Source organism: Homo sapiens, chromosome 7 (assembly GCF_000001405.40).
Source record: "Homo sapiens chromosome 7, GRCh38.p14 Primary Assembly".
NCBI classification, from domain to species: domain Eukaryota; kingdom Metazoa; phylum Chordata; class Mammalia; order Primates; family Hominidae; genus Homo; species Homo sapiens.
In genome coordinates this window covers 11,334,286-11,346,056 of record NC_000007.14, presented here as the reverse complement: position 1 = coordinate 11,346,056, position 11,771 = coordinate 11,334,286, and the positions used below count along the sequence as shown (strand labels likewise).

At 36.7% G+C, this 11,771-nt stretch overlaps 1 long non-coding RNA gene across 1 annotated transcript; it reads left to right on the top strand.

Moving 5' to 3' along the window:
• The first annotated feature begins 4,614 nt into the window (after window positions 1-4,614).
• LOC124901590 (uncharacterized) lies at window positions 4,615-11,284 on the top strand. Its single transcript, XR_007060212.1, has 3 exons — window positions 4,615-4,709; window positions 5,658-5,791; window positions 5,876-11,284. It is a non-coding gene; the product is annotated as an uncharacterized LOC124901590 (long non-coding RNA).
• Window positions 11,285-11,771: the final 487 nt, after the last annotated feature.

The following is an 11,771-nucleotide window of genomic DNA, read 5'->3' as shown; positions in this document are numbered from 1 at the left end:
TAATTTGAGCTCCATCCTGTTTCCTGGGATAAAACCACTGCATTGTAAAATATGCTTATTCATATGATAGAGTCAATTGGCTTAAACAATTTTAAGCTTCTCTTAGTTGCCTGAGTTTCCAAAAATTATGTTTTTGCACATAAAACATCAAGAACTTCTTTAGCAAACCGCAACATTATAATTGGCAATACCACACCTCAAATATTTTGCGTGGACATATTCCAAATTCCAGGCCTTTAAGAGCTAGATGATTCAGTATTTCCAGATCTTCTCAAGGCAAGGCTGGCAATCAACTGTAAGAATCAACAGTAGCTTTGTCTAGCTTAAAGAAAACCTGCTTCAACTTCTATTTAATATTACTGAGAGCCATCACATTTCTCTTTGACAAGACTGTTTGCACAAAGGTTTCTCCAGAGAGAAAGCCATGAGATTAATTTACCTCCACCATGGTGATTGACTCCAAAGCAGCTGATGGGCAACTGAAGTGTCTCCAATCTCCCTCACAAATTACTCTAAATGGTTTTGAGGATAAACTTGCCAAGCCTGTTTTGCCTAGCAGCTCTGACAGAAAAATGGGCAATTGACTTAAATAAAAAACAAGAGGATCCATTTGGGCTCTTCATAATAAAACTGCCAAGGGGCCTTTGTTAGTTGATGTTTGAGAAGCCACAGATATATCACGTACATCTAGAAATTAAGGAGCCTGTTCTACACACACTTCTTAGGGAATTCGTGATCCAACAACATAAAGCTGAGCTTGTCTAACAGGTAAATGCAGAGTAAGGCTAGCAGGAGATTTCATAAAATGTGAAGAAAAACATTCATCACATAATGTTGTGAATTCTGTTTCTGTCCATTGTTCTTAATGCTGATGAATCCCAAAGGAGAGTAATGTATTTCTCTGCTCCACTTTTTCGGAGAGGTGAATTGTGTCTCCACAGCCTTAAATTTCAAGAGAACCTGACATTAGAAAATAATCAAACTCTCAACAAAATACACATCACTTCAAGGTGGCATTATTTATAAGAGAAAAACATTTGGAAATAGCCTCTACTTTTAGTAATTAGAATTGGTTAAATAAATCTCATATAAAACTATGAAAACTATTTTATAGTCATTAAAAATTTAGTTCTTGAATCACGTGGAAAAAATGTTTATCTTGAAATATCAGTTTTAAAAAGAACCAAACTGATTAAAATTTTGTCAAAGAAAAATTGTAAATATATTACATCTATGAAGAGGTTAAAGTCTGAAGAAGGAAAATATATAAAACTAATAAAAAAGGGTTTTTCTGGAGAACAAATTATAGGTGTCTTGTTTATTCTTTAATTATTTCTGAATTTTTCCAAGTTATCTGTAATGAACTTGTGCTACTTTTATAATCAAGAATTATATTTTAAAATCACAGAATTCAATCAGGACGAATTTCTTCCAAAAAAAATCACTAATTGATGATCAAAGAAAGCCAAATAATATGCCCTTGTATAATTACATACATTCATCTATGCAAAAAAATGAGTGAATTACATAAATAAAACCATCTGATACTATATTATACCATAGGAATAGCTACGTGTTCCTTTAGTCTTTGCAAGAGCATCTGTCACAGTGAAAATACTCCACGTGATACAGTTAATGAGAAGGTTGACGACGTATTTTTGAAAAAAGTTTTTTCTAGGACAAAATGGCTCTGTGATTTTTAATCCTTCCCAGGAAAGACACCTGCACTTAATTTCACCCTTTCTTCTAAAACCATTTATTCCATTAGTTTCACCATCTCACTTTTCACAGCAAATATTACAACTCTTCAGAAGCTCTGCAGAACTTAATAAAACAGCAAACATAGTTATATATCCAGCAGTCATTTTAGACAATTAAACGCAGTTTTCAGTTTCTCTACACGAATTTGATAAGTTGGAGCCCAGACATTGCTTTGAACTGTGATGAAAGGAGGAATTTCTGTTTCAAGCGACACCGTGCCCAATTTAAATTTTGGGAACGATCACCATAAAAAGTTGTCTTGACCAATTTATTCCACTAGATGGCAGTCTTGGGATGCTACATGTAACGAAATTGTGTAATTTCTGAACATTAACCAAAAGACTAGGAAAAAGCAAGGCCATGGGAAGGTAAAATGAGGTTTAAAACGCTACAATAAGGAAATATAAACAAGCAACGGGGAAAGATTTAGGAATCACAGCTGAGACTGATAAGGGGAAACAAAAAATGACTAGACTCTCCTATCTTTATTAAGCATGCATTTTCAGATGTATAGCTCACTCCCTTTCTTGCTTTGCTTTCATTAATCAAGCCCTCATGGAGCCAGTCCCCACCAGTGAGTGGACCAGATTCAGTGTGGCCTTGTGATGATCAACTCTGGCTTATGGCTCACATGCATGGCAAGCAAAAGTGGGGATCTAAAAATGCACAGAACTGCTTTGCTGCCCTCTGAAATGGAAGGGGAAGGGAAGATAAACAGACACCAGTTAGCAATGCAAGATGGAAGATGGATCATGTTCCTATACCTCCCAAGATACCACTTTATGCTAACTGAATGATTCATCTTTTTATGCTAAAGAAAACTACTTTGAATTAAAATTAGGCCATTTCAGAATCCCAGCAGTTTGAGATCACATCACTGATTCTTTCTGACTGAAGTAAAAGCTGGAAGTGTAGCCTTACAAAGACTTGAAACTGAAAAACACTTTTTGCCCAGAATAGAGAGGACATGTAACAGTACCTCATGCCTCTCATCAGGCTGTAGCATTGCAGGTAACTGCTTAATGTGGCTTTCTATGCTTTTCCTCTTTGGACCCTTACTTTTTCCAGTACTGGTTATGAAATGGAATTCAGGCTTCAGTTATTTCAGGAATGCCACAGATGAACTCAGCAGCACTAAACCACCTGAGAACCCAAGGACAAAGAACTATCGCTGAGTCTCTCATAATTGGTCCTTATCCTTCCACTAAAGTCATCACTATTTGAGACTGAATTGCTAGTACAAAGACTGAGTAGAAATCACCTAATGGCATTCATTTACTGGGTCAAGAAGGCTGTTTATTTTATTCTTAGAAAACACTGTTAATTCTTTAGTCTCCCCTTTCAAGAATTCATCTAGCACAATATTTGTCTGTAATTCTTATTAGTAAACCAGGGCAACTCCACAGATGTAGGAGAATGGTGTCAGGTGACTGCCTCATTATGAATGTCAGACTGAAGTTTAGGATATGAATTTCTAATTTTAAAAAATAGTCAATCAGGATGATAAAAATTTAGATAATCCTCAAATGCCAAAATGCTAAAAAAAAAAAAAAAAAGAAAGAAAAGAAAAAAGAAGCCATTGAATAGCACATCATTAGGAATAATGTGGAATAGAATACAAGCATCATCACGTACGCTATTACAAAAACTTAGTGACTATATATTTTTACCTAATCAAATATTGTTATTCGTTTCAACAGAAAGTAAATACTTTCTTTATCATCCAAATTGTCCATCTATATTGCACTAAATGTGTACCTGAAAATTTCCTGTTCAAGAATCTGTATGTATTATGTTTTGAAATTCAGTGTACAATAAATCCACTGTAAATCTATAAAATAAATACGTACTTGAACAGAGATGCTCATACAAGCATACATTGGGATAATATGAATGGAATGAATGAAAATATTGAATTAAGAAGTTTGATATGGAAAATATAAGACAATGGATATATTTTTCCTGGGGACTTGGTAGGTCTTCTTAAAAGGCATAAAGGAAAATATTAATAATTTTGGCAATATTAAAATTTATAACTTTGTTGCAAAAGGCATAACAAAATTAAAATATAAGAGATTGAGTGAAGTTATTTCCATTGTGCCTCCAAGACAAAGGATTAGAACCCAGAATATATATAAAGAATACAAATTACCCAACAAAAACAAATTGGCAAATATACCCAGCAAATCTCAGGTTAGGACAAAGTATATAAATATGATCCCAACTCTTCTGTGAGCCAAGGGAAAGGCTAAAGTAAAAAAAGGACAGTTGAAAGCAGAGGTGGAAATGGAGGGAAGACAGAAGATAATTTCATTGCCTTTGCATCTCCTCAGCTGTTGGCTACAATTTTTTTAAACTTTTACTTGCCTACCATTTATTTCAACTTTTGTACATGAATTAACTATGTTTTTTTAAAAAAAAAAAGTCCAGATTTCCCTAGTTTATTGTATCAAGAAAGCCTTAAACTCTATTCACAATAACTCAAAGACACCAATGCCAGGTAGAAGAGGAGGTGGTTGAAGAAAAAGAACAGACACTCTATTGCATACAAAGATGTAACGAACATTTTTAAAAGAACAATGGTCAAGTCTAGCCTTTAGGTGTAGATTTGATTCTGCATCAAGATGATGAATGAAATCCTGTGTATGGATGGCACTCAAATTTCAGATATGGTTCTGAGATTCTGACAAAGTGGACCACTTTAAACCAGGTCTTGTCTAGGAAAATCATAAGCAACTCAGCCCAGGCTTTACAAGTTGGCAATACAGATTTCCACAAGAGAGCAGCACGTCCTCAGTTTTGAAAAGTACGTTGGTGTGTTTTGCTTCCGTTCTCCACTCCAGATTTTTTTTTCCTTTCATACCAATGGCTGCTAAACACAAACATGTTTGGCTTCATCTGGGAACACTGATGTGAACAGAATACATTCCTCCTCTATGCAGGCACAGGTGAGATTCTACTGCACACATGCTTATCATTTGCAAGAACACAGACCTGACCCAGCATAAAGAATGTGTTAAATGACAATGGGGACAGTGGAGAGCTGTTCGAGATTATGTAATCTCATTCTACACAAGCTGATAGAATTTTTCTCTTTATTAAGCATTGTTTACCCTCAGAAAATTTATCTTCCTCTCTTGGGTGAGTATATATTCACCAAAAACTTACAGCAACATGTACTGCTTATGTAAACATACGATGGATAGAGGTACTGTTTTCAACTTAAAAATATATATATTTATACAATTTAGAACCTTGTTTCCAAGGCAATTAAATTACAATGTTTTCATCTTGACTGAGTACCAAAAAGGTGCCAGGTTCTATAGTTCATATGGAAATAAAGTTAGGAGGGTATTAATAATATAAGAATTCAGTTTTTATTGTCTTTAATTTTAACACACAAAAAGAAAAATTGAATTTTGCAGTAAATATATTTTCCAAATTGGTAAAAGTTATTTTAATCTCAAATCTTACTGTCTGCATAGACTACTTAAGCATTTTGTAATTTAAGTAATTTTGATTTAATGAAACATCAAAGAACCTAAAAGTAAAATCCTCTGTTTTTTACCCTTATTATCTATAAAACAGATTTGTTTTGTTGGGTTTTGTTTTTGTTTTAAATTCCCTGAAGCTTGGGTTGTTTTCCAGGGTGAATTATTTACTAATACCTATTACCCTCAAAAAAGGAGATTTCCCATCAAACTACTGGCATCCACTAAGTAATAATAACCTAAGAAATCAGCTGTGCAAAAAAAGCTACCTAAAGGGGCCAGGAATGAATTACTTGTTTCATAGATAATTCTGTCTCTGCACAAAAGAAACAGGGGAGGGCTGCATTGTTCTTTTGATAACAAATAATAGAGACCTTCTCTTATTTTCTCCTTTGCCTGCTCCAGGAATGAAGATGGAAATTTAACGCAAAGCATCCTGGTCCTTGCTCATTATGATTCTGTAAAGTCCTGCCATTTAGGAAATGTGTCTCAATTTCTGTGGAGATGAAGCAGGAAGGTCAGACTGAGCTTTAATCAAGGTATCTCCCTGCTGGGGTAGGAAGGCTTCCCTCCCCTCATATATGTGGCTTTAATTTGACCGCTTTTTTTTTTTTTTTTTTAAGTGCCTGAAGCCATGTCAGGGTCTGGCCATGGCTGCTATTCACTTAATCCCTGAAGCCCAGTGAGTATACTGATATTGTCATTGACAATTTACTCTTGCGGTATTTTTCTGCTAAACTGAGAGGGATTTTGTCACTGGTGCACTATCAAAAATACATGAAGGACTTGCCCCTTATTAAGAGATGCCATGTCAGTTGAGGTCACATTTATAATGAAACCCCAGCAATGAGGAGTCTCCATCCCTCACAGGAAACAAGGAAAAAAGCAGAACTCTTAAATTGCTCTATGCTGCAAGGAGGATTAGCCTCCTCCTGGGGAAAATGTAGTGGGCTGTCATGCCATTTTGTTCAAAGGATTTCCCCTTCTTCTCGCTGCCTTGAACTCCTTGTCATCGTCTCTCCCCTCACCCTGCCCCACCAGCATCCCCAATGCACGGGCACGGCCCCCAACCCCTTTGGCAATCTTCTTCATCCCTTTTATTTCATAAGAATTTCTTTTCTTTTTCCAGTGTCCTAGATGCTATAATTCATTCTGCATTAGGTGGGGATTACTGATTGACTCCCGAGAAGTCTGGAAAGTTAGACATTGATAAATCAGGTAGTTCTTGGGTTAAGAAGGGTGTCATACATGCTGCCAGACTTGATACTAGGTATGCCAGCTAAATTTTCCTCTTCAATTTGAAAGTCTCTCAAATCCCACTGAAGTGGTAGACTATATGCATTAAAAACAAAACTTGATTGCTGTTCATCAAGTTTGAAAGAATATAGGTTTCCACCCTTGGGCATTAGACATATGAAATGGTTATGAGTGGGGCAGCCAACCCTAGACAAAACCATAGGAATGGGAATCCTGTCACTGCCCCCTCCGCCACAATTACCCTTGTCAGCCCCCTCTCCCGAGGCACCTTTTCTTCCCCATTCTTCCTCTGGCTGGCTATCTGTTGCCAGTTAAGGGATTATTAACGTTATTTTAAATTGGAAACATTTTCAGACAGGTTTGCAACTGAAAAGTGAGAATCAAGAAAGTTCTTCCATATGGCCTTTGGAAGTCTGCTTACCTGAGTTCTAAATAAAATCTCCAAAACAACTTCAAGGATGTTGTTTGTAATTAGGGACTTTCAAGGAGGTTAGGAGCTTCTCCATGTTGTCCTCTTTCTTTACTTTAACAGACTGTTCCTAATGAAATACCTGTCCTTTTGCTAAAATACCTTGAACTAAGATATTAATATTAAGAGATTAAGTAACAGTGCTTCAAGAAATAGAAAAAACCATTCTGTTAATGCCACAAATATTCCCCTCCCAACTTTTTGGTTGTCAAAATCACCTGCTCTTACTAGATAACACCTAGACTTTTCTAAACCATTTACAAGACACATTAACAAAGTGTCTTGGAAGCTGTGTCTCACCTCCCAGTTGTCAGCCCGGAGACTGCCCAATATCCAATGTCAAGGGATGCAAAGTTTGATTCTTATCTACAAGTCTTGGCCTTCCTAACCTGATAACAGCCATGTTCTCTCTCAATATTTATATTCTTACATTTGCTAAGGCTCTTAATTGAGAGCAACAAAATCAGGCTTAACAGAAGAAAATAAAATTTTTGTTAAGATGTGAAAGTGTCTTGCAGAAACTAAGGAAGACTTGACCAGCAGACCAAGGTAAGGGCAGAAACTCAGACGGTAGATGGGCCTCAAGAATGGCATTAGGATCATGGTAGGTCTCGCACCCCCGTCTCTGCTGTATATGTTCTTCAATCATATTCATTCTCTCTCTCTCCCTCTCTCCTCCCCACCCCTCTCCCCCCGCCCCTGCTTCTCTCTCAACTGGCATTGTTTTCTCTATTCCTTATGGCAGAAAAATACGATAACTAAGCGGTCTAAATTTTATACAGTATAGGTCTGTCATCTTGACAAAGACAGAATCATCCTCAGAACAAGTTTTAAAATGCAGACAAATGCTTTGGCCTATACAAATATCTTAATTTGGGGATATAAATTGTGTTCAGAAGATGTACTCAGATGTTAGTGCACCCTGGAACATGGTGGCCAAAAAAGGTCAAGAAACGGAATGAGTACTTGTGATCAGCTGAATAATAATCACCAAAAATGTTGTTACCTTATTTGGCAAAAGTAACTTTGCAGGTGTGATTAGGTTAAGGCTCTTGAGGTGGGAAGATTATCCTGGATTATCCACTGTGCCCTAAAGGTAATCACAAGTGTCCTTATAAGAGACAGGCAGAGTGAGATTCAGTTTTAGCAGAGATGAAAGCAGAAATTGGAAGGACGTTCTTTGAAGGTGGAGGAAGAAACAACAAGCCAAGCAATACTGGAGTCTAAAACATGCAAGGAAACATATATTCCTGGAGTGTGCACAGACCTACTGATACCTTGATTTCAGCTTAGCGAAAGCCATTTCTTTTTTGTTTGTTTTTTGTGAGGCTTTGTTGTTGTTGATTTTTTCATGTGAAAGCCATTTCTGACTCCTGTTCTACATTACTGTAAAAGAATAAATGTGTGTTTTAGGCTATCAAGTTTGTGGTATTTTATTAGAGCAGACATAGGAACCTAATTTAGTAATTCTTTAAAATACAAGAATGGGGCCGGGAGTGGTGGCTCACACCTGTAATCCCAGCACTTTGGGAGGCCAAGGTGGGCGGATCGCCTGAGGTCAGGAGTTCAAGACCAGCCTGGCCAACATGGTGAAACCCCATCTCTACTAAAAATATAAAAATTAGCTGGGTGTGGTGGTGGGTTCCTGTAATCCCAGCTACTTGGGAGGCTGAGACAGGAGAATTGTTTGAACCCAGGAGGCAGAGATTGCTGTGAGCCGAGATTGTTCCACTGCACTCCAGCCTGGGCGACAGAGTGAGATTCCATTTCAAAAATAATAATAATAAAATAAATAAAATAAAATAAAATACAAGAAGGGGTAGCAATGCCAGGAAGGGAATTCTTAGTAAGACTCTGAGACCTCAATACAAAAGACTATAAATGGTCACTTGGAAGGAAGTTCAAAGAAAAACCAAGTATCGGGGGGAAGACCTAAATAGAGGAAAGAAAGATAAATATAAAGGCTAGAAAGGACACTAAACTGGAAATTAAGGTTCTGTTCCCAGCTCCCTGACTCAGATTATAGTGTAGAATAGGCCCTCTACCTTCTTAGCCTTTGTCTATGCACCTTGACATGAGGGTTTAAGTAACATAATCCCAACGGTCCCTGCCGCTTTAAGATTTCACGATGCTAAACCTCTGTCTAGATTTTGGCCTAGATTTTGCAGTGTTAGCACCTGGGGGCTCTTGAAGTTTACATTTCTGGTTTTGACATGGTAGATATATTGACACAAAATCCAATACAACTAGAATGGAAAACCCCCAGATGGGCATGTACAAAATCTCTGAGATTATTTAATAAGAAGGAGAACAAGGGAAACTAAAGGCAAGACCCTTGAGTCAGCTCTGGAAAAAATTTTCGCAGTGGACTAACAACTGCTTGTAAAAGCATATGTGAATATTCCTCAAGGAAATCTGGAGACAGCTCTGCAGAGCTGAAAGTAAAACACAAATCTATCAGCACCACTGGAGGGAAAAACACATTCCCTGGTGATGACAGAATTTGTTGGTATAGAACAAATAGCACTTTAAAATAATAAGGTAATGTTTATGTTTGGGGAAATAATTTAAAGATAAACAAATGTGCCTACAATTGGTACATCAGAATTTATTTTGCCCTAAATTCCTCGTCTGTGTTCCTTTTGTTGGCTAAAATCATAGCAATTCTAACAAAAGTTACTAGATATTTGAATCCTTGTAAGTATGGCCATAAATTGTGTTTTAAAAATCTTCAAATCGTTTGCATAGTTCTGTCATCATATGGAAATGCAAAGATGTTTGTTCTGTCTTGAAACCGTAATAAAAAGAAGACAAGCTATGTGTCCGTTCAGTATTGCATTCAGCTGAGTGTAATAGAACTCAAGCTGTAATTGTTTAATGAAAGTGGGTAAACTCTTCTTTGATTAAAATCAGTCCAAATGTAGGCAATCCAGGGTTAGTCCAAGGATTTCACAATGACATAAGTCTCAACTCCTATTCTTCTGCTGTCATCCTCGCAAATGGATTTGCTTTACATTACTGATCCATAGCACAAGATAGCTGCTCCAGCTTCAACTCCCTCTGCATTCCAAGCAGGAAAAAGAGATGAATGCAAAAGGCAAAAGGTTTATTAATCCCTTTCAAGAGCTTTCCTCAGAGCAACATCTACACACATTACATTGCTAGAACTATGTCCCTCTTTACACACCCCCAGTTGCAAAAGAGGCTGGCCAAAGTAATCTAAAAAAAAAAAAAGGTTGAGTACTTGCTTTCTTAAAAACATCAGAATTTGTTTTAGAAACAAAGCACAGGATAATGAATATTAGGCAGACAACTAAAATGTCTGTCAAATTCTTGAAAAATCGTCAACCATTTTATTTGCCTTAATGAAGTGATCATTAGGGCTTCTCTTATAATCTTTTTTTAAAGAAGACTTTTAAAGGAAACTTTAGATTTTAAGATTATTTAACTTTTATTTTAAGTTCAGGGGGACATGTGCAGGATGCGCAGGTTACACACATGAATGTGTGTCATGGGGGGTTGCTATACAGATTATTTCATCACCAAGGTATTAAATCTGGTATCCATTATTTATTTTTCCTGATCCTTTCCCTCCTCCCACTTTCCACTCTCTGGTAGGCCCCAGTGTGTGTTGTTCCACTCTATGTGTCTATGTGTTCTCATCGTTTAGTTCCCACCTGTAAGTGAGAACATGTGATATTTGGTTTTCTGTTTTTGCGTTAGTTTGCTAAGGATAATGGCCTCCAGTTCCATTCATGTCCCTGCAAAGGACATGATCTCATTCTTTTTTATGGCTGCATAGTAGTCCATGGTGTATATGTACCACATTTTCTTTATCCAGTCTATCATTGATGGGCATTTGGATTGATTCCATGTCTTTGCTATTGTGAATAGTGCTGCAATGAACATATGCGTGCATATATCTTTATAACAGAATGATTTGTAATCCTTTAGGTATATATATACCTAGTAATAGGATTGTTTGGTTGAATGTTATTTCTGTCTTGAGGAATCATCACACTGTTTTCCACAATGGTTGAAATAATTTACACTTCTACCAACAGTGTGTAACTGTTCCTTTTTCTCCATAACCTCACCAGCATGTTATTTTTTGACTTTTTTATAATGGCCATTCTCACTGGCGTGAGATGGTATTTCATTGTCGTTTGGATTTGCATTTCTCTAATGATCAATGATGTTGAGCTTTTTTTCATATGCTTGTTGGCCTCATGCATGTCTCCCTTTCACAACTGCCAAAAAAAAAAAAAAATACCTAGGAATATAGATAACATGGTAAATGAAAAGATCTCTACAAGAGGAACTACAAAACACTGCTCAAAAAAAAATCAGAATTGACACAAATAAATGGAAAAACTTTCCTTGCTCATGGATAGGAAGAATCAATATCTTTAAAATGGCCATACTGCCCAAAGCAATTTATACATTCGATGCTATTCCCATTAACCTGCCATTGACATTCTTCACAGAATTAGAAGAAAAAAAAAACCTATTTTAAAATTCATGTAGAACCAAAAAAGAGCCCAAATTGTGAAAGCAATCCTAAGCAAAAAGAACAAAGCTGGAGACGTCGTGCTACCTGACTTCAAGCTATACTACAGGGCTACAGTAACCAAAACAGCATGGACCTAGTACAAGAACAGGCACATAGACCGATGGAACAGAATACAGAACCCAGAAATATGACTATACAACTACAAGTATCGGATCTTCAACAAACCTGACAAAAACAAGCAATGGGGAAAGGATACCCTATTTAATAAATAGTGCTGAGA